General features: G+C 44.8%; 1 protein-coding gene across 31 annotated transcripts in view; it reads left to right on the top strand.

Moving 5' to 3' along the window:
• NCAM1 (neural cell adhesion molecule 1) overlaps positions 1–25,963 on the top strand; it is a 317,017-nt gene that overhangs the window by 225,165 nt on the left and 65,889 nt on the right. For 26 of the 31 annotated variants that reach the window (NM_001242607.2, NM_001400616.1, NM_001400621.1 and 23 more), the window contains exons 2-7: positions 15,795–15,869; positions 17,702–17,920; positions 18,939–19,082; positions 19,459–19,596; positions 20,677–20,794; positions 21,249–21,418. The exons of 4 other annotated variants lie outside the window; for them this stretch is intronic. In NM_001242607.2, the coding sequence (NP_001229536.1) occupies positions 15,795–15,869; positions 17,702–17,920; positions 18,939–19,082; positions 19,459–19,596; positions 20,677–20,794; positions 21,249–21,418 (864 nt within the window). The remainder of the gene's footprint in view (positions 1–15,794; positions 15,870–17,701; positions 17,921–18,938; positions 19,083–19,458; positions 19,597–20,676; positions 20,795–21,248; positions 21,419–25,963) is intronic. One more of the 31 variants, NM_001400606.1, reaches the window with a different exon arrangement.

Genomic DNA, 25,963 nt, shown 5'->3' on the forward strand with positions numbered 1-25,963 from the left:
GAACACTTGGTCAGATTTTGACAGTTAAGATCAGGAGATGGCCCCGCATCGGCACTCTGGGGGCCTGGGTTGGTGTTTCATGGGAGAAAGAATCCAGAAGTGTCACATTTTGAAGCTTACAAAGGGTCGCCCTCTATTCTGTTCAGTCTAGTGTGTCCCAGCCCTCTGGCAGCTGATCAGGGTCTCATGGAGTGTCCTAGCAATAGCCTCTGAGTTCAGAGCATGCAACAGGATATTCACACACAGCAGAGGTGCGAAGCCAGTGTCCCAGCTGGTGTTTCTGGAAGGCTGTGAGAAGCAACAGAATTAGCATAGAGGGTGGCTTCTTGCTCAGGCTCCTTAGGGGACATGAGTGACACTCACTAATGTGTCCTCCAGTTAGTTCCATCTCTTTTTGTTGCCATAATGGTACTTTCCTTCTCAACTGAAGTTCTTAGCTCCCTTTCTTGACTAATTCTCACCTTTGCAGGTTTGCCTCTTGCAACTGGTATCTAAGGGAGTTCCCCAGGTAAGGAGAAGCCTCATATCTGAGCTGAATAGCAAGGCTTTTTGCTAAGATGCAAAAATAAGCCAAATTCGTGTTTGACTGCAGCAGATTTTTGCTCTGTGAGGAAACTAGACCCGACCTTCTTGACTTCAGGCTTTGGTCTCTGGGTCAGTCTTCCTCGTGACATTACAAAAGGATCTTGGTCCAAGACAAGAGCCAACCCTAGAATTGAATTCATTTTGGGCATTTGATGGCCTTTCCCCAAGGGTTCAGGGAAGGTACAGGACACAGAGGGTAAGCAGTCTTTGATGTGGTGGTTATTTTTGTTTGTTTGATTTTTTAGCCTTATAACTTACCTAGAAGTTTTGGAGAAAAATTTGAGTTTATCATCACCTCTCCTCAGCTAGAAAACAGGCAAATAACTCACAGTCCAGTGAGTTTTGAGTCTGATATTGTGTACACTGAGGATCTGTGTGTGTGTGTGTGTGTTTCTGTGTGTGTGTGTGTGTGTGTGTGTGTTTTGGCATTAAGATCTGCATAAGCTATTCCAAATGTGTCAAACTTGCTTAAATGGACTCAGTGAGGAACGCTCCATGAAATGTGAAGCTATGTGTAGACCCCACACTGGAAAAGAGGAGTAGACAGTAGTCACTTATACCTCCAGAGAGCAGAAAGAAACTCAGCAACAGATTCGTTGTACCAGAGGGAGTTTGAGGACCGCCACTGGAATTGTGTGCTCTTTTTTCTCGGGCCATTTATTCTGGCAACTCTGGCCCTTTAGCAGACTTGGTTGTCAGGTTATTACCATTTAATAGCTTTCTATAAGATACTGGCATCTTTAAAGGCCAAATAGTGTTGCTGACAGCTATGACTTTATAGAAATAAAGGCAGCTTGCCTTGTTATAAAATAAGGTACATTGCATGAGCAGGAGTATGTATTCATATAGATCAGTGCCTTTTCTTTTTGACCAAAGTTTGTTGCTACTGTTGCTGCTGTTGGGTGTGGAGGACTTCTGTCTGTTTGCCAGTCCTGTAACATATTCAGAAAGCTCACCCTGGGAATTTGAGGGTGTGAGGAGAGAGAGAGCCAAAGGGGAATGAAGGTAGGGATGCTGTTAGACAAAAGACGGGCATGTCGGGGAGATCCCAGCCCTTGTGAAACCAGCAGCCCATTTTATCACCATCGTCTGTGGATGAAAGCCTGAAAGCCACACCTCATCCTCTATGATGAGACCCTGAGAACCTCAAAGGGGCTCCTCAGTCACCCCCAGGACTCCACATCTATCTAAGAGCAGACAGATGTGTTACTGTTTCTACAGCAGCAGAAATTACAGCCTTGGCTGTCTGAAGCATTAGAGCCATTCAGCATGGAGTTTGTTTGGGGAAGTTTCTTATAGGAATAGAAGAGAACTGAAACTTGAATCTCTCAGCATTATATTTCAAAACATCCTGCATGAACTCCTTATTTAAATCTGTTCAGATTGATACTAGTCTGAGGGCTTCTCAGTTTTAGAGCTGTCAGTCCAATTTGGAATAGAAACTAGTTATTGCACCCCATATTTAGCTACTGTTGAGGTTGATTCTATTTTTAAAGAAGAAAATTTCAGTGACTGGTGACCTGGGTTCTTTTTAAGGAACCCAGTTTTGCCTGGTCACTGTGACTTGACACAAACCAGTGACTTTTGGTCACTAACATTCCCAGGGGGAATTCACTGTCCAGGGAGACAGGGTGAGGAAGGTGGTGTGTGTGTGTGTGAGTGTGAGTGTGTGTGTGTGTGTCTCCCTGTGTGTATGTATGTGGTTTCTTCCCATTGTCCCACTCACATCTCTTATTTAGAGTTGGTGCTGGGATGCCAGGCAGAGTCACCGTGGTCACTGTAAACTTCCACCTCCAGAAAAGGCATTTGTTCTCCTGAAGATGGAAGGAAGTTTTCTGCAGACCTCCCCTGAAAAGAGTTTGTCCTCTCCGTAGGCTTTTCCCTTTCATTTAGACAGCAATACCAGTGATCCAGGAATAAGGAAGCTTAGTTACTTGGTTTTAAAGTTATAAATAACTAGAATTTGTCACCTTGGTAGGGAAGTTAAGAAGCATAGCCTCGGCCGGGCACGGTGGCTCACACCTGTAATCCCAGCACTTTGGGAGACTGAGGCAGGCAGATCACAAGGTCAGGAATTTGAGACCAGCCTGGCCAATATGGTGAAACCCCGTCTGTACTAAAAATGCAAAAATTAGCCAGGCATGGTGGCGTGTGCTTGTAGTCCCAGCTACTTAGGAGGCTGAGGCCAGAGAATCACTTGAACCCAGGAGGCAGAGGTTGCAGTGAGCCGAGATCATGCCACTGCAGTCTGGCCTGGGTGACAGAGCGAGATTCTGTCTCAAAAAAAAAAAAAAAAAAGAAAAGAAAAGAAGCATAGCCTTTGTGAAATTCTTCCTAGAAGGAGACTTAGCTGCCATCTGATTAACTTGGTTTGTGTTTGTTTCTCATGGGTGAGCCTCGTTACTTGTCCCTGACCTTTGAATTGGTTCCTTGGGACTCCATTCTGATTTTAGTCCTTGAACATCAAAGCACATTATGACATTGTGCCTTGGGGGTGAGGGGCTGTCTTTAATGTTTCTGTCTTTGATTTCACAGACTGGGATTCAAAGGCTCTCTTGCCTGTTGGATGAAGCAAAGCGAGTTTGTCAAGGACAGTTGGGTTTGGATTGAGGGAGGAGGAAAGTCTTAAGAAAATCGTGAAAGAACTTAGTACTGATTGCTTAAATAAAAAATAAAAATGCTACCATAAAAACAAAACCCAAACAAACAAGGAAAAAAAAAAAAACTATGCTGGATAAAAGGATCTCATTCCATATTCAATTTGTATGACTTATTAGCAGTTCTTTTTGGATGTAGCATTATTCTGGGCAGGAAGACAGGAGCATAATTAGCACATGGGGGAGGTCCCAGTGACCAAGTTTGTGTGTTTGGTCGTGTTCCCCCAACCTCACTACTCCTACCAGTGAACCATTTCCCCAGCCCTCCCAACTGACTCCACCTAAATCTTTGATTTATTATAAGTCAGAAAAAATGGATAGCAACCTTGAGAGCAGCCAGAGGCCCTTGCTGTTCTTAGACACATAAATCACAAGGTAGAAGTACGAAGAATGAAGACAGAATGTCAGTAACCAGCCTGGGGGTTGGGGAAGGATTTTGGGACTTTTCTGGATCTCTGAAATTACAGCGTGTGAAGACAGGAGGAGGCCATCCACATAGCCTGAGGACTGTTAACTAACTGAGAAGGAGAAAGTAATGCTATGGGTAATTCTGTGGATGGATGCATCATAATGTTGCCAGATGTAATACTGCAGACTCACAGAAGAAGAATGTATTTTGGATGTGCCAGCACCGCCCCACGGCCACCATCTGCTGCTGCCCCTTCTCCTCTCCCCTCTCCACACCCAGCCCTAGGTTGGGCTACTCTGGGTTCTGAGTTCCTGATAAGCCATGGTCATGATGACGTGGCATTTCCTACCCTGATGAGTGGTGAAAAGCTGTGGGTTCCAGGGACAGCTTCTCATTTGTTCCCTAACTCAAGAAAGCGAAACAACGATGTCCCAGGGTATTCTGTTTGGCAAGTTATTATTCAAATGGCTGGATTTTCTTCTGCTCTACCTCCTTCAAAATTTTGTATAACTTAGTTTATGTATTATCTAGCAGGTCAGGCACCATCTGATCTGGTGTGACAGTGGTTGTGGGGGTGGGGAATGGACTCTCCATCCAGTAGAAGAGTGTGACCTCCAACAGGAATCCCTTTAACATGGACACTCTACAGATGACCCCTTAAGGAGAATGGCTGCTTGGAGACAGCACAAGTTGAGTGGCTATATGAATAATCTGTTTCAAATGCACACTCTGCAGGGAGTGGGGGCAGAACCAGTCACAATTTATGGATCATCAAAGGATAATTTTATTATCAACGTTTTAATAAGGAAAGGTATGGCTTATCCAGAACCCAAATTGGGGGATCAGTAGTAATCCATAGATGGGAAAATGAAAATCCAACTAGCAGCCCCCGACCCCATCCCTGTTGGCATCCACCACCAATGCTGAGAACTGAGCTATAGAGACAGAAGGGAAGGGCTGCAGGTGGACATTGAGGCTGGACCCACTGGTGGTGAGGAGCAGGGTTGGAGGGAATTCGGTTCAGAGAGGAAGGAAAGTCTACGGCAGGGAGAAGAGTGTAGCCAGGTGGGCTCAGGAATTCCAGCAACCTGTTTCCATTCCCTGTTTAAACTTAGTATATCCCTGGGCCTGAATCATATAGCTCCTAGGAGACAGTGTTTTTCTTTTCTTACATGCCTGCCTGCCAGTTCACCCAGTAGAAAATCAACTTCTTTTTCATCAGAGTTAATTTTGAGATTGACTTTATAGAAATATATACTTAAGAGCAAGGGCTGTGGAGCTGGATCTCCCTGGGTTCACATCTTGGCTTTACTGCTTACCAGCCTTGTGGCCTTGGGCTGGTTATTTAACCTCTCCATTCCTCAGTTTGTTTGTTTGTCAAATAGGATAATAGCAATACCTATCTTATAGGATTGTTGTGTGGATTAAGTGAAGTGCTTGGTACAGTGGCACAGAAGATAGATAGAGATAGATAGATACACATGTACATACATAGATATACACACATGTATGTGTGTATATGTGTGTGTGTGTGTGTGTATATATATATATATATATGTATATGAATGTGGAATTTTCCACTTGATATAAACCAAATTTAACAATTCTTTGCACTGGTTGTTGGAGACATTGTAAGCCTTTGTATCTTCAATAGCCCAGATGTGCTTAAAGCAATGAACACATAAGGACATTATTGAAAGGCACGGGCAGGATCTAAAATTCTCAGGATGAAGTTGCATGCTAGCATTCTCTGAATTTCTATTTTCTGAATGTAAAGAATAAAACATCTGCAAACAACAGCTGGACAAATATTGAAAGATATAATTCCAACTTCTTGCCATGTTGGCAAAAGCAGTTGAGAGAGAGGGAAATGCTTCGCCTTGTATCAGTACCTTTTTATAGCTGGAAGAAAAGAACATCGACGAGTCATTTTGTCAAGGTTTCAGGAGAGCAGACCAAAGAAAACATCGTCTGGAGCCTCCTGGAAGCAATCAGATAGTGTACAGCCATTTACTAAGAAGGCCTATCTTATCAGGGCAGATTGATGGATTGTGCTTTGTTTATCTGGAGAAGCTTAGCTGAGTTCCAAACATCAATTTGCATCCTTGCTCTACATTTTAGTAATTCAGTTTCATGCAAAGTGCTGGCCCGCAATAAGGGTCTGCTTAGACAAGGGAAAGAACAGGAAAGGTGGCCTGAAAAGGGAGCAAGAAACCTGAGCTTCTGTTAAAAAGTGCCCCTGGGGTTGGTGGGAGGCACTGGATGGATTAATCAGCTTGCCACAGGACTAGCAGAGCACACACCATTTGTCCAGCTTATTTAGCTGTGCTTAATAGAGCTATTCTCTCCCTTTAATGAGAGAATGGCTCTATTGGGATGCAGGTGAGACCGGGACAGAGCAGGCAAAGAGGAAACAGTTGAAGAAATAACTACTGAGGACACAAAAAGAAAATGAGACACAGAAGCAATAGAAAGCCCTGGGTCAAGTGTCAGGACAACGGCCAACCCTGTGGCTTTCAGACTTTGCTGCAGGCATCCCAGATTTCTGTTCCTGGTGTTTTCCTACCTATAAAATGAACGGGTTGGAGATAAGCGTCAGGTCCTTTCCAGCTCTAACCTCCTTTGTTAGTAAATGGCTCTGCAATCCTGGCCATGACTCCAACATAGTAGAAGATGGAAAAGTTGTGCTTATCATTAGGCCAGTTTCACCCCTTCTTGGCAGACCCCCCACACCCTTGGCTATCTGCTCCTCAGTGCATGAGGCTGCAGGACATTCCTGCCTTCACCTGTTGTGTTCTATATAAGACTGGGCTGATGTCCACTTGAAAAGGATTTCACTCCTGGCCTGGAATCTGGCCCTTTTGGAGCTCTATGGAGATACTTCTGATTTTTTTTGCTGCTTTGGTAGGAAGCAATAACATCTGGAAAGCATTCTCGTCTTCTATGAGACTCTGTTAAAACTAGAAAACAAACAAGCAGGCGTGTATCATCAAGTTAGGCGGGAGTCTCTCCTGGCTATGTGCTTGATCCACGGCTTTGGTCTAGGACATGTCTGTCTCCTGCTCTTGCTTATGCTCCCTTTGAGTCATTTCTTCTGACTGCCCATTAAGATGCTCCAGCGGGCTCCAGGCACAGTGGCTTATGCCAGCCTGGAGAGCCCAGCACTTCGAGAGGCCGAGGCGGTTGGATCATCTGAGGTCAGGAGTTCGAGACCAGCCTGGTGAACATGGTGAAACCCCATCTCTACAAATAATACAGAAATTAGCAGGGCATGCTAATTGGTGATGTGGGCCTGTAATCTCAGCTACTTGGGAGGATGAGGTGGGAGAATCGCTTGAACCTGGGAGGCAGAGGTTGCAGTGAAGCGAGATCCAGCCTGGGCAAGAAGAGCAAAATTCTGTGTCAAAAAAAGAAAGGAAGAAAAAGAAAAAAAGAAAGAGAGAAACAGAGAAAGAGAGAAAGAGAAAGGGAAAGGAAAAGAAATGAGAAAAGAGAACTGGGTGCCTTTTGGGGACTGGGAATTGGTGGTGGGAGTGAGAGCCTGGGAACCACATAATTCTATTACTTCTGAGGAGATCAACCAATGTGTAGACTTTCTTGCCCTATAACCAGAAGCACAGGATGCTGTGACATGAAATTAGTCACGTTTTCTAGCAGCTAGGTGGTTTGTAGGGGCAGCAACCATGGTTTGAAACCACTCACTTCTTTCTATAAAACTAAATCGGACCTAATGAAATGCTAATTTGACCCAGGGAACTCAGGAGGCCAAGAGAACTGAAGCTGTTATCTGGCTTGGCTCTGTGTTCTGATTTGAAGCCAGCCCCCATGGAACAGAGCCAGTCCCCAATTATGCCGGATTCCCAGCAGCTCATATAATTTATTATGCTAAGAAATAGAGCCTCCTGCTTCTGGCTAGTTGGTTTCTGTTGTTTGGTTACTAGAGTTGCGTAGGATAGAGTATTTATGGTAATAAAATATCGGATAATCATCCAGGGCTCGGTTGTGAAGGGATATTCAATATCTTTTCTTCCTGACTGTAATATTAGACAATCAATTATGATGTCATATTAGACAGAATGCTGAAGAATTCTAAAGCCATATTCACCTTCTCCATCCTTTCCCCCTTCACTCTGTTTGGAAGAGTCATAGGATTTGGGGGCAGGGGTTAAGGAGAATTCTTACCAGGACTGCTTGCTGCATGGTTTTTGTGTATGACTCAATACCCAGTCCAGGTAGCTTTATGAAAAATGATAGATTTTGGAAACCTGCTTGCTCTATGAGTGTAAAGAGCCCAAGGGTCTCCTTCAAGTGCATTTGGTTTAGAGATGTCTATATGTTATCTGAAAGTTGTCTGTATGGCTTGTCTTTATACCAGGAAGCTCCGTTTTCTTTATCCTGTGGCATAAAAAAATGAACCTACCAAGAGTCATCTTTCCCTCCGCCTTTTGTCTCAAATTCTGCTTTCACGCCTCTGCTATGCACTAATGTTCCTAGCCAGAAAAGACTGCAGCTTTCAAGAGGGGTTTCCTTCATTCTCTAGGCTGCTTTACGCCTCAGGGGAAACCCAGGAGCCCAGGGGCCTGTGGCGACTTTAGACAGCATTTCCCAAGGGCTTCGTTATAAACTTAGTTGATTTGGAAACCTAGCAGATCACTTCTAGATGTTTAGGTTTAAATAGGAATGAGATAGAATTCTTGGGATTTATGTAAGAGGACCCCAACTACGCTGATGGAAGGACTGGCAGTACTAAGTATGACTTCTAGGTGATTTCAGTTGCTGTTGTGAGCCAGCTTTAAGCCATGAGGATACTTCCAGTGGCAATTAATGTATGGCCTGCCATTATGAAGCCATTATACTGAAACAGAAGCCAAAATCTGTACAAACACATATTTTATAGTCTCTTTAAAATGGCATCTAGCTTTTGGATTAATATTTGAAAGTTAAACAGTCTACCTTATTTTCTTCTTCCACCCAGTTACTATCAACAGTAGCTTAAGCTGGAACTGTAGGACTCACATGTCAAGTATAGACAAGACTGCTCTGTCATCCCTAATAATGTATTGGTTCTTCTCTGCCAAAACGAGATACATTTACTTATGTCCAGCTATTTCTTGCAACAATATCAACCTGACAAGTTCCATTATTCTATTAATACACACACATATTTTTATGGGCTCTCAATGGATGTATCCACACATACACAAAAATGTAAATACACACCACACACACACACACACACACAAACACACCCCTTAGTAGATTTTTTTTTTTTTTTTTTTTTTTTTGAGACAGAGTCTCGCTTTGTCGCCCAGACTGGAGTGCAGTGGCGCGATCTCGGCTCACTGCAAGCTCTGCCTCCTGGGTTCACGCCATTCTCCTGCCTCAGCCTCCTGAGTAGCTGGGACCACAGGCGCCCACCACCACACCCAGCTAATTTGTTTGTATTTTTTTTAGTAGAGACGGGGTTTCACTGTGTTAGCCAGGATGGTCTCGATCTCCTGACCTTGTGATCCACCTGCCTCTGCCTCCCAAAGTGCTGGAACTACAGGTGTGAGCCACCGCGCCTGGCCACCCCTTAGTAGATTTTTAGACAGGCTGAATTCAATAGTATATAAGAGGCCCCTGTTATCTCATTCTCATTACATGTGTCATTGGGAATTTTGTTTGTTTGCAGGGTGTGTGTGTGTGTGTGTGTGTGTGTGTAAGTTCAAAGTACTGTCATATGTACTGTCATTTAAAAACACACAGCATGACCTTGTGTTTGGTACTTTATGTACATTACCTTTCTAAACAATTTCGATATCCCTTTGAGATGAGTAGGATCAATATATTCACTTACAGATGAGGAATACAGACTCTGAGATTCATCTGAGAACTCACTTAGTTTACTAACTGTCAGAGCTGGAATTTGAACTCAGATCTCCCTGACTCCAGATCCTGAGTTCTTAATCACAACTGTCTCCTCCCTATTTAATTCTTGTGACAATCCAATCGCATTTGTTCGGTTTTTACAGACAAGAAAACTGAGACCAAGGTGAAATTACTTGTCTGGAGCCCCCCATGTTATGATGTTTTTGGCTGTGGTTAAATTCAGTCTTTTATATCTGAGATGTTCTGACCAGCAATTCAAATGCCTTATTTTAATGTAGAGAGTAGAACTGGGCCACCTGACCACAAACTAGATTATTCGGGAAAGTTGCTTTATCTTAAACCATAAAGGGAAGACATTGCTCCCCTCAGAAATAGTAACCGAAATAATTTCTTTGGGAAGCGTTGTTACTAGAGGTTAATTAAGAATAATAATGCACAACAGGTATTAAATGCTTATTATCTGCTTTACATATGTTGGTTCATTTCATCTTTTCAAAGCCCCATGAGGATGGTTCTGTTTTTCCCTGTTTTACAGATGAGACACTGAGAGGTTAAATAACTTGGCCAAGATTACAAAGCTAATAGGTGGCAGAGCTGAGATTCAAACTCAGGTAGTCTGGGCTGGTGTCCTTGGTCTTAACCACCCTGCAATGTGACCACATTCGTTTCCTATTCACTTTCACTGATTTTGTAGGTTTGGTGGTGAAGAGACCCTTTATTTTCCCTCCAGTAGTTTGCTGATAATGAGAGCAAGCCATCTGTATTAGTCTGTTATTATAATGCTGTAAAGAAATGCCTGAGACTGGGTAATTTATAAAGGGAAGAGGTTTAATTGACTCACAGTTCTGCATGGCTGGGGAAGCCTTGGGAAACTTACAATCATGGTGGAAGGGAAAGCAGCACAGACCTTCTTCACGTGGCAGCAGGAAAGAGAAGGGTGAATGAGCAAAGCAGGAGGAGCCCCTTATAAAACCACCAGATCTCTGAGAACTCACTCACTATCATGAGAACAGCATGGGGGAAACTGCCCCCATGACCCAGTCACCTCCCACCAGGTCCCGTGCTTGACATGTGGGGATTATGGGAATTACAATTCGTGATGAGATTTGGGTGGGGACACAGAGCCAAACTATCTCACCATCCCAGGCAAGTGGCACTGCTTCCATTCTTATGCTCCTGGTCTCAGTATCTGGATTTCCCACAGGTATAGCCAAATGAAAGAGACCTTAGCATTCAGTTATACTTTGAAAAATACAAAAACAATTCTCCATTACAGTGGTTATGTTTAGCAATACTTAAGGCTCATTTCTAGAATGATAGCCAACAAGACAAACATATAGCTGTAATTTAATGCCTTTTTCAAAAGTCCATGGTCATTATTAAATAGATTATAGAAAACTCCCTTATCTCATCATAGTCACTGATGATATTTATCCTGTTTGTTTCACCCGTCCTTTAAATTGGTGATCAGAGCATCTTGCTTGGGTGTGTCTACATTGGCCTTGGGCCCTGAACATCTGTAATGTCTTCCTCAGCCTCCAGTGACTTTATAACATCTTGACAAGGAAGTATTTTCAATTAGCCACGGGAGAGACTTTGGTTCCCTGTCTGCTGTCAGCTCCTCCCTCCTCAAGCCCATTGGAATCTGAAAAGAAAACCGATAAAATAAAACTACTGCAAGAAGTTGCTGATTCATGTGAACTCTTTTTTGAAATCAGAACAAATTATTCTCTGTTGCTTTGCCCACCTCTTCTGATAAGCACCTGAGCATCTTTTAGGAACTGAAATTTTAATTCACTTTTCTTCAGCAGCTAAGACTTTATAGCCTACTTCTGCTAGGGAGTTGGGAGTTACAAAACATCTATCTACACCTGAAGCCATTTGCTAAAAGAGTTGGCATTCCTTTCAGAACATATCATCAGTTTAAAAAAAAAGACATTTAAACAGAAAACACATTTCAAAATCTATCAGTCTCCCATGGGGCTATTTTACTCAACTGAGGTGGGGAGAGGGAGATTGTTTGGTTCTCAAAAGACAGAACTTTTTTTCTGTCTGTGAACAAGGGATAGAATAGTGTGGGAGAAATGGCTGGACTTGGAACTGCAACCCAGTCTTGAATCTTGACCCTATCATTATCATCACTTATGGCTCTGAGCGTCCCTTACCCATATGTAAAATAGAGGCTATAATGCTGTGATTATCTATGAGCAAAGAGGCCAGTTATAGTTAACCAGGAGAGAAATGATGGCAGCAACTTGATATTAGAATTTTTTTTTTTTTTTTGAGATGGAGTCTTGCTCTGTCGCCCAGGCTGGAGTGCAGTGGCATGATCTCGGCTCACTGCAACCTCCACCTCCCGGGTTCAAGCAATTCTCCTGCCTCAGTCTCCCGAGTAGCTGGGACTACAGGTGTGTGCCACCACATCCAGCTAATTTTTTGTACTTTTAGTAGAGACGGGTCTCCTGACCTTGTGATCCGCCTGCTTCAGCCTCCCAAAGTGCTAGGATTACAGGCGTGAGCCACTGCGCCCGGCTGATGTTAGATCTTTGTACAAAGACTGTGCTCTTTCTAGCCTATGATTTGGAAAGAGTGTAAATGGTAACTAATAGGTTATAATAAACCTATTTGGAGATGGACAGAAGGTTATAGTAGTTGAGGGGTTTAGGGGAAGAGTTCAAGCCTTAGAAGTAGATGATTTTTAATCTTGGTTTTAGTGCTCATTAACTAAGGGACCCTGAGCAAGTTATTTTATTTCTCTGAGCCCCAATTTCCACGTTCATACAGTGGAGACAATAATATTGGCCTTTTTATCACTCAGAACTGTTTGATGAAATAATGAAGTGTGTTTTGTAAACTGGAAAGTGTGAACTGTCCACAAAAGAGGGCTTGGGGGATGAGTGCTTCTTGGAGGCGTGGGAAGCACTGTTGGAAGCGCCTCTTGTCCCTGCCCCTGGGTCCTGCCCAGCCCAATACCTAGGTTCATAAGCACGTGTCTTTGAATCCAGCTAAGATGATGCAGTATTTACGCAAGGAGTGTTTATGGAAAGCAAGAGATGGGATACTTCGTCTGTGAGAAATGTTTACATAAGTGCCTTTTAAGGTGGGAGTTATGCCCAGTGACGAAATTCCACTTACATATGCAACTGAAAAAAAGGTGAAAGTTGAGGTAGGAATTTGTATTGGGAACAATGAAAATAGTAACAGAGTAGGAAAGGACCAGGCAGCAAGCAATGGAGGGAAGGAGTTTTGAGATCAAAGCAGGATTTCCACTTACTATCATTAAACCTAGTATTTCAGTGCTTCGTGTTTGGGGAAGAATAATCAGCCATTGTGCTGCAGTGGAAAACATCCAAGCATTGATTTCCAGAGAACCTGGGGTTCCTCTGGGCCAGCTTTGTCTCTGGTGTTTTGAGGGAGGAATCACTAGCTTTTCCATCTGTGCAAAAGGCCAGGCGTCTAAATGGATAACTCTTCCTTTAAAAACTTCTGTGATGGGAAGGGGAACATCACGCTCTGGGGACTGTTGTGGGGTGGGGGGACGGGGGAGGGATAGCATTAGGAGATATACCTAATGCTAAATGACGAGTTAATGGGTGTAGCACACCAGCATGGCACATTTATACATATGTAACTAACCTGCACATTGTGCACATGTACCCTAAAACTTAAAGTATAATAATAAAAAAAAGAATATTTTGCAAATAAAGTAAAAGAAACACCCTTAAAAAAAAAAAAAAAAAAAACTTCTGTGATGATAAATGTGTGCGTGGGATCCTGTTAAGCAGGGAATTCCTTTGAAAGCCTTGTTTCCCTTTTCTCTCCATGGCCCAGAGATAGATCCTGGCCGCATTTGGATATGAAAACTCCTCAGCCTTGCCGTGTTCTCCTGCCCCTTGAGAGTTGTGTTCTGTTTGAAAAGAGCTGAACAAATGAAGGCTGTTTTTTCACTTGGGATAAGAATATCCTTCTCAAAGCAGTAAGGGCTGAACGAGGGTAACAGGATCCATATGTTGAAGCTGGCTGCTAATACTCAGCATATGGTCCAGCAAACTTTCTTGGGGGGACTCAGCTTCTCATTCTTTAAGGAATGCTCCAGTGAACTCCAGAAAAGATCAGGACTTAGGTGACCGTGGCATAGACACAGCTTCTGGGCTTCATAAGCCTGTAGTTCCCAGAGAATGAGAGCCACGGGAAGTGACAGGGAAGGTCCTGGCTGGCCTTAGCATGGATAGCACTGGCCTGCAGCTCTCTTTGTAAGGCTCCATGCTCCCCAAGATACGATGGGCCCTTATCAATTCATGGGCTCTCTGTGTTCTGTTAAGGGATAGTGAATCCAAGGGTTGTTACTTGGGGTTCCCAGATGGTGTGTTCTAGTGAATGGAAACGTTTTGCCCTCTGTGCAGGGGCAGCATTGCATCATGGAAAGATCACCTACCCGGAGCCAGGAGGCCTGGGCTCTGGGGCCACGCTAGCCCTAACTAGAAGTGACCATAGGAAAGTCACTCCACCTTTTCCTCATCTGGAAAATGAGGAGGCAGGATGTGGTGATGTCTGAGACCCCTTTGGGCTCTCACAGTGTAGAATCAAGTGGCACCTGAACTCCATCCTGAGGAGAATGACAGGAGAAAGCACCCACAGATAATCACACTTGCACTGCGGGCAGTGACCCCGCGGCATAGTATTCCAGCACAGCTCTGTGTGCTGCGACCACATTCAGGAGAGGCAGGGGAAGACTTTTTATTGCTCTCAGGCAAGAATTCAGTCCTGAGCCTCAGGGAGCCGGCAGTGGTGGTCTGAGCAGGGGAGAAACTAGCTGCCCTAGATTACTCTATTTCTTCCAAACCAGTTTTTGGAAGTCTGGGTTTTCCCCTCTGATTTTCACAGATGACAGCGTCAGCATCTTCCCCCTGCCTCTGCCCAGGGCCCCATTTCTCCCCTTATGCCCTCCTCCTTCCCTTTTCCATCCCTGTCTCCACCACATCACCTCTTTCTCTCTGAAGCCTCTGCTGGCTTTCTCCGTGACCTGCCTTGTCTGTTGCTGGCATGGTTAGGAAGGCCGCACCCCCTTCCCAGCCCCAAGCAGGCCCTCTAATCCCTGCAGTCGGCTGAGGACAACTGTAGTCTCTCCATCAAATAAGCATAGACCAAGACCTGCAGCAGCTCTGCCTGCGAGCCGGTCACCATGGCAACGAGCATCACCTCCATTCTACTGTGAAAAGAAAATGGCTGTTGGAAGGAAGGGCTCACTGAATCTCCATTCCCCAGGCTGTTTTGTTCAAGCCTGTCCCTCCTGTTGGCCAGAAGAAGCCCCATGCACTGAACCAAATACCTGTTTGCCTTTAGATTTGGGGTTTACTTAAGAGAAGGAAAGGCAGAAAGAAGTTGAATTCAAAGGAATAAAGCATTTTTCCACCTCGAAACTCTATTTTCATGAGGAATGGTTGTCTGCTCCCAGCAGATAAACGAGGAGCAGATGAACACAGGGATCTGTGAGATCTGGCGCAGTGTATTTTGTCTTATCGGTGCAGTGGAATGACAGAGCATATGGATGTTCAAATAAATATTCAGGGAAAGTAGCCAAGGGACCCAGGGAATTCCACAGGGCACGGGCTACAGAATTTCCAAAGGGTGTCTGACTAATTGGGGTGGTGATATGTGATGTTGGCTCCTGTTATGGAAAAAGGTGTGTTGGTCCTGTAGTCGTGAGGGAAGGTGAGGGTTTACCCTTACCATCCCCACTTCAAAATCAGTGTGAGCCCTCCTAGTGATTGTGTCCGGACAGCCTGGGGAACTGGCAGGAGACCCCTGAGCTTGATTCTGGAGTGCAGCCTTACTGCACTTGACACAGCTGTGGAGACACTTCAGATGACATCCAGAAGGAACTGGTTGGGTCACCATTTCTGTGAATCCCAGGATGTTGCTGTTTTGGAGCAGGATCATAAGTCTTCTCAAGGGGTTGGAAACATTTAGTGCAGAGATCACCCAGAATCTCCCAGGGCACCTTGCACTCTCTGAGGGGAAATAGCTATTCCATAGGAGAATGGTCTGGGCCGTGTCTCTCTCTGGCTGCACATGGCCCTGGCTGTTGGTGGCACAAGTTCTCAAACTCCACACAACCTCCTCCCTTCACTCTTTCTTAAAGTCAGTTGGGAAGCCTATTTTTGAATGGAAGATCTGGGTTTCATTCTTGAACATTGGAATGTACGTTTGAACTGAACTTTGTGGGTTTTTTTTTGTTTTTTGTTTTGTTTTGTTTTGTTTTGTTTTTTCAGTTTCTCTGCAGGTGGATATTGTTCCCAGCCAGGGGGAGATCAGCGTTGGAGAGTCCAAATTCTTCTTATGCCAAGGCAAGTGCCTAGTGCTCAGCTGCATTTTAGAACTTGCTTCAGAAACTCACTGGGTAGAGCAGGAGCCCTCAGGCCATGTGAGCTGGCTGGTCAAGCCACACCTAGAATTCTTGGCATTGCTCTATTACAGGGTCAATAGTATGGCCATTTAAGAGCCAGGGCCTCTTCCTTCCTTTTGCAAAAATCTGCCTCAACATAGCAAATCTGTCATCTAGACTTCACCTTGACTACAGAGGAAGTCTAGGAGTTTTCTTAGAAAAATCAGCACAACTTCCAGAATAGTGAATCATCCCCCATCTCCTATTCTGTATACATTCAGAGTTCTGTAAATGACAATGGAGAACAGCACTGGCTCAGAAACAATACTTCGGTGGATCTGTTTAAGGCTTATTTCTTAGAATTCCCCAGAGCTTGAAAATCTAAGTCTAAAACTTGCCTGTAGGTAAATAGAATACTGGTATGGCTTTTGTTGTGAGGACATATATCCTGGGTTTACCAGGTCTATTGTGAATATCGATATTCTGTGCCATGGTCCCCACCAGAGCTCTGAGATATGCCAGACCTGGTGACCTTGTTTTACATTTAGAAAACATGCCCCATTTCCACAGCCCAGATAATTGCCAGAAAATGTCCTGTGGAGGAAAAGGTTTCAAATTAAGCCTCAGATTCTCTGTATATGACATGACTGGGATTCAGAACATGGAAGAACCAGGAAAGAGCTGAGCTAGGTGTAAATGGTGACATTTAGCAAGCAGCTTTTGGCAGGGAGGGGCCTTTAAATGCTGTCATGATTTGCGTGGACGAGGTGGCTTGTGGCCGTCGGATGTGTTCACTCCAGCTTTGCCTTCATTACAGCAATTTCAATGATCTGGAGACGCAGCCGTGGAGCCCACAGCACATCTTGCAAATAGCGATATTTATTGAAAACATGATGGGCCCTGAAAGGAAGACTGCTTCATTTCCATACTAAGCATCTGTGCAGGGCTGGGTGGTGCAGGCTGAGAAGGGCGCCACGCGAAGAGGCAGGGGCCCATGCAAACAGGCAGGGCGCCGCCACATCCGCCGGATCTGAGCGCCCTTCCAGCTCAGTGTCCTGGGCAGTTTCAGTGTCAGAGCCCTGTTCCAGCTCAGTGCCGGGGGCAGCTCAGCCACCACAGTCTGTTCCTCCTCATTGCTGCCTGGGGAAAGGAAGAATGGGTGGTTCTGGCTACCTTCTTTGCAGCATGCAAGGAAATGAATTTGTCTGAGCAGGGAGTGACGAAATGACAGTCATGCCAGTTTGTGCAGGCAGATGCTAGAATAAATGTGGCTGGAAAAAATGAAATAAAAAGTGGTTGGAATCTGCACTCCTATACTAGCCAGTATTTCTCGCCTTCATCTCAGGAGACCCATTATCCAAGGCTTCAAAAACAAGCTGATCAGTAGACTCAGACCAGTTAGGCTCTGGCGCCCGAATCCTAAATACACTAATTCCCTTGGTTACCCGTTGTGTGAGGCATGTGTGTTCCTAGCTTAGTGCCCAGCACACAGTATGTTCTCAACAAGTATCTCTTCTCTTCCATCATTAGGGATAGGACCATGATAACAACTAGTACAAGTGGTTGTTGAGTTCTTTCCAAATATTGTAAGAGGTGTTAAGTATATAATAGTTAAATGCAGAGGCCAAAGAAGGGCTGCATGTCATTCCAGCAGCCATACTCACCCCTCCCTGATGTTCAAGCCTTGACTGATCTGTTGTTCAGTAACTCTTACTGATCAGCCACTGTCAGTCTGGAGGGGACTTATTAGTCTTTTCGACTTCAGTAGCTTAAAAATAATCTCTTCCTCTTTAGTGGCAGGAGATGCCAAAGATAAAGACATCTCCTGGTTCTCCCCCAATGGAGAAAAGCTCACCCCAAACCAGCAGCGGATCTCAGTGGTGTGGAATGATGATTCCTCCTCCACCCTCACCATCTATAACGCCAACATCGACGACGCCGGCATTTACAAGTGTGTGGTTACAGGCGAGGATGGCAGTGAGTCAGAGGCCACCGTCAACGTGAAGATCTTTCGTAAGAGCCTCCTTCTTCTTCTGCATTCTCTGGCCTCTCCTTGCCAAGGAGACATGTGGGTAGTGGAAAGGTGGAAATGATGACAGAAGGACCAGCTGAGGGCCTAACCAGTCCCATTCTCTCTCCCTAAGTCTTTTCTGACCTTGGCCAACCCAGAACTCACAACCCTGGTTCACACTGGTCACAGCTACTCCCCCACAGGCGTTCATTCTCAAAATTCAAATTACATAGTTCCCAGAGGGCTATTACGGGTTTCTCTATCCCTTCCCCAAATGTTGGCTGACTGTTCTGCAATTTGGGCTCCTCTCCCTTCTTATTTCCCTCTCCCCTGCTGGTAATGGAGCCCAGGGCTCAGTGGGGTGGGGGATCATTATCTGAACACTCTCTGCCACTCAGAGCAGGCAGTTCCTATTGCCTCTGAAACCCCATCTGTAGGTGGCATCTCGTTACCTTGTTATTTATATCATGCATCCATCCCAGTGGTTGGAGTAATGGTGGGTGACAGCTAATGGAACAGTATTGATTGCACGGTATTTATTGCCATTAAATGTGCTTTTTTCCTGTTCTTTTCATCAGCATTCTGTCTGCCGTAGGAAAGTTGGGGTGGGACTGGGAGTAGCAGTTCGAGTGGGAGACAAGAAAAGGACTGATGATTCTTACTATTCGTTGTGGAATGGATGTTCCACCAGTTCATTCTACCTATAACCTGTGCTTCACTGGCATCATCCTGCATGACAAGGAACCCTTGGTGAAGATATTCCTTTCATTCTGTAGACCCTTTTCTGCACAAAATGTGATAAATTTAGCACTCAATGAGCAGATATTGGTTGCCAAGCATTGGTAACCTATGCTTGGGCCAGCTGCTCTGCCTGACGTCTCTGAGGGTGCCCCTCTTATACAACTGTACATCAGGATCGAGACTTGCCCAGGACTCAAGTCCAGGTACCATGGCTCTAGTGAAAGGGGTTCTTTGTGAGAGAAGCAGCTGTTTTCCCTCACTCTTCTGTTCATCTTCCAGAGAAGCTCATGTTCAAGAATGCGCCAACCCCACAGGAGTTCCGGGAGGGGGAAGATGCCGTGATTGTGTGTGATGTGGTCAGCTCCCTCCCACCAACCATCATCTGGAAACACAAAGGCCGAGATGTCATCCTGAAAAAAGATGGTGAGACCTGAATTTCCTGGCATCTGCCTTTTCCCCAGGCCACCAAGTTCCCTAGCTTTTTCACCTGTACTGAGGCATTCCAGTCCAAACTCCAATTCATGTGTGCCCGAACCCTCATGTGGTTTCTGGGTCCTGAATAGATGCATATCTGAAGTTGGTATACTTAGGTACCTGATTTTCTCTCCAGTACGAAAGACAAATTTCTAATAGACATTTACTCTTGGCTGTATTTCAAAGCCAGGGACGCATTTTCTTATTTGGGCTTAAAACCCCACCCTATGATACTGAAGTTAGGAAAAAGGAAAGAGACTCAGCCACCTGCCTGCAGATGCTCTCTGACTGATTCTTGGATGAACCTGCCTCTTATCTCTTCTAGTCCGATTCATAGTCCTGTCCAACAACTACCTGCAGATCCGGGGCATCAAGAAAACAGATGAGGGCACTTATCGCTGTGAGGGCAGAATCCTGGCACGGGGGGAGATCAACTTCAAGGACATTCAGGTCATTGTGAATGGTGAGGAGAGTCCGTTCTTCCTGATCTCTGCATTGCTACAACCTTGGTTCTCCAAAATCATTCTCTTTAACTTCCTCTTGGGTCTGTAAATTAAATCCTGTCCTGACTCAATCATCCGTCTGAGCTAAATCCCCTCCCCACCGTAACATCTAGATTTCTTTTTTTTTTTTTTTTTAATATACTTGCCTGTTGGATCTTCCTTCAACTACGAGGGATTTTAGTGCAGCAACTGAATGTCCTTCACCGTTCTGCAGCACTAAAAACTTTCCCCCTGCTTACCTATTAATCCTCATTGTCCTTGATGTTACCATAATTGTGAAGTTATTCCGCTGCTTAAATGTTCAAAGAAAGTATTAAGTCAACTCAGGCCTCAGAATAGTCAGAATCATGGTCCATAGGCTTGTTAATCTTAACTTGCAGTGTCAAATAAACACACCCATGGAATTGATCTGACATTTACAAGATGTTTACAGGAAATTATAATGTCAGTACTAAGAAAATAAGTAAATCAGGGTTGAATTGTTTTGACTATTGACACATATTTTTTTTGCCAAACTCTCCCCATCTCATTCCTTTGGTAAAAAACAGTTTTGTACAAGGTTGTTTATCACAGTCCCAGAGAAATGGCACTCTTTGTTATAGCTGATGCATTCGAATTGGTGTTAACCATTTAACCACTGGGAGCAGTAATGTCCAACTTTTTCCAGTACAAAGAGCTCCTTTTTAACATCAAGTTTCACTGAACCTGGTAGTTATTAAGTTTAGTATGCATTGACTGAGAAAATACATAATGAAGAATAGTGACTATAAATTGAATACCATCTTAACATGCATAAAATGTATTACTATAGCTTCTCAATTAATGAAAAACAAAAATGCATGTTTGTAGAACTGTCTATTCAGTTTGCAGAAGTTATTTAGTACATACATGAATTTCAATTCCTGACACTAACTCTGTAGCTGCACACGACGTTTGTCCCACAGGCTGAGAACTCCTGACCTGGAGTGGTGTCTCTTCTCCAGGCCATTGGGTTCTTCCAAATTTTCACAACCACCCCATGACACCCTTTTTTCCTTCAGTGCCACCTACCATCCAGGCCAGGCAGAATATTGTGAATGCCACCGCCAACCTCGGCCAGTCCGTCACCCTGGTGTGCGATGCCGAAGGCTTCCCAGAGCCCACCATGAGCTGGACAAAGTAAGAAACTGGCTCATACCTTTTATCATGGACTAGAGGAGAATGGGGCATCACAAAGTCTGCTCCATGTTAGTGTCTGCGTGGAATGGATGTGGGCTTCTTAGGAATATTAACCCCAGGAGAAGAATGGACTCTTTTCTATAAGATTCTCTTGCTTGTGCATTGATTATTCCTTCAATTTCAGCCTTGTGGGGGCAGAGTCAGAGCCAGAGGGTGTGGTCTTGGGAGCCCACTTTGAAACATTTGTGGGTACAGTTGCAGCCCTTGGATAGTCAGAGGATGGAATAGAGGAATAAGAGGTGTATGTGGACGTTCAACTTGGTGCCTTAACTTTTTGTGAAGACTGAGGAGTCTTTCCCATTGACTCAGTCTGCATTCTATGGAACCTAATTAAAAATAAACGTCTTATTTCTGTGGTCGAAATCATGCTACTTTGCATTTCTACATGCTCTAGGGATGGGGAACAGATAGAGCAAGAGGAAGACGATGAGAAGTACATCTTCAGCGACGATAGTTCCCAGCTGACCATCAAAAAGGTGGATAAGAACGACGAGGCTGAGTACATCTGCATTGCTGAGAACAAGGCTGGCGAGCAGGATGCGACCATCCACCTCAAAGTCTTTGGTAGGGGCAGTGGGGGCCCAGGTCACTGCTCTGCCACAATTCCCCTTCCTCTGCACATTCAGTCCATCAGTAAGACCCTGGCCACTGTCCCTCAGAACATAACCCAATGCAACCATTTCTTGCCAGTTCCACCACCTAGTCCAAGCCCTAGTCCAAGCCACCATCATCCTCACCTGAGCAGTGGGACGGTCTCATAGCTGGCCTCCCCGACTCTCCCTATTGGTCCACTTCATTCACTTCTGCTCACAGTAGTCAGAATGACCTAAGTACCACTCATCTGTTTGAAAGCCTCCAGTGGCTCCCTATGGCAACCAGAATAAAATTCAGACTCCCTGCAATGGCCTACAAGACCAGAGATGAACTAGCTCCTGCCTTCTTCTCCAGCCTCATCTTTCTTTCGCTTTGCTGCACATGCAAAGTTCTCCAACCACACAGGCCTTCTTCATGTCCCTCAGACATACCAAGCTTGTTCTTCATCTCAGGATCACTGCCCTAGGTTTCTCTTCTGCTTGGAATATCTTTCCCTCTGATCCACTCTGAGCTGCCTTCTTCTGATCCACCATTCAGATCTTAACTCAAACTCACCTTCTCAGCGGCGCCTTCCTTCACTGCCCTGGCTAATTCAACTCCCTCTGCACTGCGACCACCCCCACCCACCTCCACTCATCTCTCTCTCGTGACTCTTACTGTATCTTCTTTGCTGTACTTAACAGTACCTGAACAGATGTCATTTGCATATTTGTTTTGGGGATTGTCTGTCTCCTACCTCTACTAGTGTGTAAACTTCAAGATAGCATAACCCTGGCTGTCATACACGGCGTTATCCCTGTGACTCCAAACAGTGCCAGACTTGGCATAGGCCCTTGGTAACTTTAGTGGTCGATGGGCTGGCTGCTTTGCCTTGTTTGCCTCCTTCCCTGACCTGTGCAAAACAGTGTCATGGAAGAGCCCCCACATCCCTGCTCACTTCATCTTCATAAACTCAGGAAACTTCCATTCATTTCAGAACTGAAAAGCATTTTGACCTGATCTTGAAAAAAGAATTGGTTGCAGAGAAACGTTTAACCTAATGGCCCTCAAGTCTCTCCGCGTGTCTGTTTAGAAAACACAGATAAACTGGTCTACTGTAGACAGCACTGGGGAAGTGCCAGTCTGAGGCGCAGCTCTGGTGCATGGAGCCCCCAGGTCATTAAAATGTGCACCTGGGAATCAGGGTTGGGACCTGCTTATCCAGCCTGATAAGGAGAACTGTTCATAAACACAGACCTTTGAAAATCAAGACTTTATATGCAAATGTCCTGCTAGTTATTCAGTAGTAAACAGCTGGGTTTAGAAACAGGCTATCAGTTAGGTTCAAGTTAACCGTACGTATTTGAGAGAGAAAGCTAAACTTCATGAAAAATATTCTTGAAAGTCTTTTCTTGAATTCAGACTGATCTTCCCCAATCACTATGGTTTTAGTAAGTTTTTCCATATTGTAGAAAAAGATAGATGCATTTGTTAATTAATCCCTTCATTTAATAAATACGTATGGATCACCATTGTTGCTGGACAGAGGGGCTACAGAGATGAATAGGATATGATCCCTTGACCCTGGGAAGCACAAAGAGGGAGATAAATGGATAAACATAAATGTTATAATAGTGTCAGTCAGCAACATTTGAGTGACTGCTGTGGACTCAGTCATTGCCAAGTTTACAAGATGAATAACATGGACTCTGTTCTCATCAGTAGATTCACAAGCTAATGTAGATAGTCAACGCTGGAATTTGAAATGACAACACATTATTATGGCTGCAAAATAGCAATATGCACAGTGTTTTATAGGAAACAAGTTCTCTGGTCCTGTGTGATGTAAGTTAGAGAAGTCATTAAAATGTACTATTTCATAAGTAGGAATTACCCAGCTGAAGGAGTGGATGAGAATTTTAGGCAGCCTGGGCACAGGCACAGAGGCAGGAAAAGCACAGGCTATGCTGAATGGGAGCTTCTTGTGGACAGGGGCTGTGTCTGTTTTACTCACAGATAGATCCCCAGCACCCACATGCATTAGGCACTAGATTGAATAAATGAAGGAACTGTCATTAGTTCTATATGATGAAGCAAACATACATATGTGGCAGGGAGATAAGCCTGGAAACACGATCATCACCTGTCTCTAGGAAATTATTTTAGACTTTAACTCCATAAAGTAGTAATAATAATAATATCAAACACAAGCAGAACACCTATAATGTGCCAAGCATTCTGTGAAGTGCTATCTGTAAGTTAACTCTTTTAATCCTCATCACGCCCCTATGATGTAGATTTTATTATTATCCCCATTTTACAAAGGAGGAACCTGATCACAGAGGGATGAGGTGCCTCTGGATTCAAACCGAGGCAGGTGGCTCCTAAGTCCCTTCTCTAATCTAACAATGATGGTTGTTAATTCCAGGAAACCCAACAGGACACAAATTGTATCTGAATTATGTGGGAGTGTCTGGCAATACTAGAATCAGTGCACTCTGCCTGCATCACCAGGTAGCTCATGGTTTCTCTGAAAAGCAACTCAGCCCTGACTTGGCTGGGCATGAACAGATCTCGGCTTCTCTTCCAGACCTCTCTGGTGGTGATGGCTGCCCCGGAGTAGTGAGTGCAGGGCCATGTGGGACCGTGGTAGAGGGAAGAGAGTGGGTCAGGTCGACGGGAGGAGGTCAAAAGGCAGAAACTGCCAAGACAAGATTTGTCTTCCCACCCACACCTTGGACACATACACCCCTCTTCATCACAAACACACACACACACACACACACACACACACACACACACACACACACATATTTCACAATTTCTTTCCCGAAACTGCAGCTGGAAGAATAGGGAGCATAGTGGGGCAAACAGAGAAGAGGTGGCCAGGCTCCTGAAGAGACAGGGCAGGAATCATAGATTTGTAGAGACTGAGTCCACACAGAATGGGAATCCTCCCCTGTCATAGTCTGCGGAGCGTTCATGCAGCCTCCCTGAAGGAACCTGGTGCCTCTTCTCCACCACCTTTTCCCATCCATCTTCCCTTCTCATCCTCCTTTCTCTCCTCCTCCACTGGCCTTCCCATTGGTTGAGGAAACTGATATAGGGTTAGGGAGCCACCTGGGGAGGGACCAGCTGATTAGGGCTCCTTCTCCTTCCACTCTTTTATTTCCTTTCCAGCCCCTTCCAACTTGCCATTGTGGCCCATCACTGGGGGAGAAATGGGACAGGTTCTGCAAGTGGGAGTAGAGTCTACAGCAGTGAGGTAGAAAAGGGAGGAAACCTGTAGCTTAGATAGTAAAGAAAAGCCCAGAAGTCCTGTGGCCTCAAGAAGGAATGTCCATCAGTATGTATGGGACATATCTCAATTAGAGACTTTATGACATCATTTGTATCTAAGTGGCATCATTCTTTCCTCAGAAAAAGACATGTTCTAGCACATGTTGCCTTAGTTATTAGCTAGATGCTCCTTTTACTAAGTAGATGCATCCTATCATCCTTTAAATTTGGCAGTGAATTCTCATTACTGTTGTCCCTACACGTGCCCCTGAAGAAGTTTTGTCTCTATTGATTCTTGTGATGCTCATGTACATGCTCTTGAGGTCTCATGCTGCTGTGGCTGAGGAAAGTTCTCCAGTGGCCAGGAGCCCTGTGTCTCAAGCAGCCCCTGAGGGTTACAGCTAAGGACAAGCAGTGGCCTGAAAGAAGGTGCATCTGGTCATGCCCCATAGCATAGTGTCCAACCTCTTTGTTCAGGGATGCAGGGGCCTCGGGGCTCTTCTTTGGCTAGGGTTGTAGGAGCATGGACTGGAGTTGGAGTAGACAAGGCTGCCTCTTAGTGGCAAGCATTCTTGGAAAACTCACAGGAGGAAATATGGGGAAAGGTGCAGTGGAACAGTCTGAGGCACTAAGGCCCATGGAGGCAGGTGGAGAATAGAACAGGGATCCAAAAGCCAAGAACTCATAAGAGAGGTTAATTAATAGAGGGCAGGGGGTGTAGGAAGATGAAACCCAGAGAGATCCCTCTAGATGCTGGAAGGCAGAGGGAGGGAATCTTTTCAGTAGGGTGACCCAGCATCTGTCCCTGTTTGCCTACTAATGCCCTTTGTCCTGGTGTAATTATTTAGAGCCTCTCATGTCACTCTCAAGAGAGTCCCAATTTAGACAATAAATTATGCATATCACTGTCTTGTTCTAAGGTGGCATCTGAGCTTTCTGAGTTAGTTCTGACCGTACTGCTTCTAGAGTAATAGAGAATTAAATTATCAGTGGGAAGCTTCCCTTCCTTCCCACAGCACTCTGTAGACTATACAAAATTAGCCATAATCATGTTTTAATAAGAATATGGTTTGCCTTTTTTCTAAGGAGTCACACAATGCACCTTCTGTAGCCATCTGGGAAATGGAGCCTCCAAGGCCAAATATTAATAGATGGCAACTGACCCTTGCCTGTCTTCTGTTAACCTTCGGCTGCCATGACAAAGTACCGCAGGTCAGGAGAAGGTCAGCAAAACGCTGTCCAGATCTCAGAGTCTGA

This window comes from Homo sapiens, chromosome 11, assembly GCF_000001405.40.
Source record: "Homo sapiens chromosome 11, GRCh38.p14 Primary Assembly".
Classification (NCBI taxonomy): domain Eukaryota; kingdom Metazoa; phylum Chordata; class Mammalia; order Primates; family Hominidae; genus Homo; species Homo sapiens.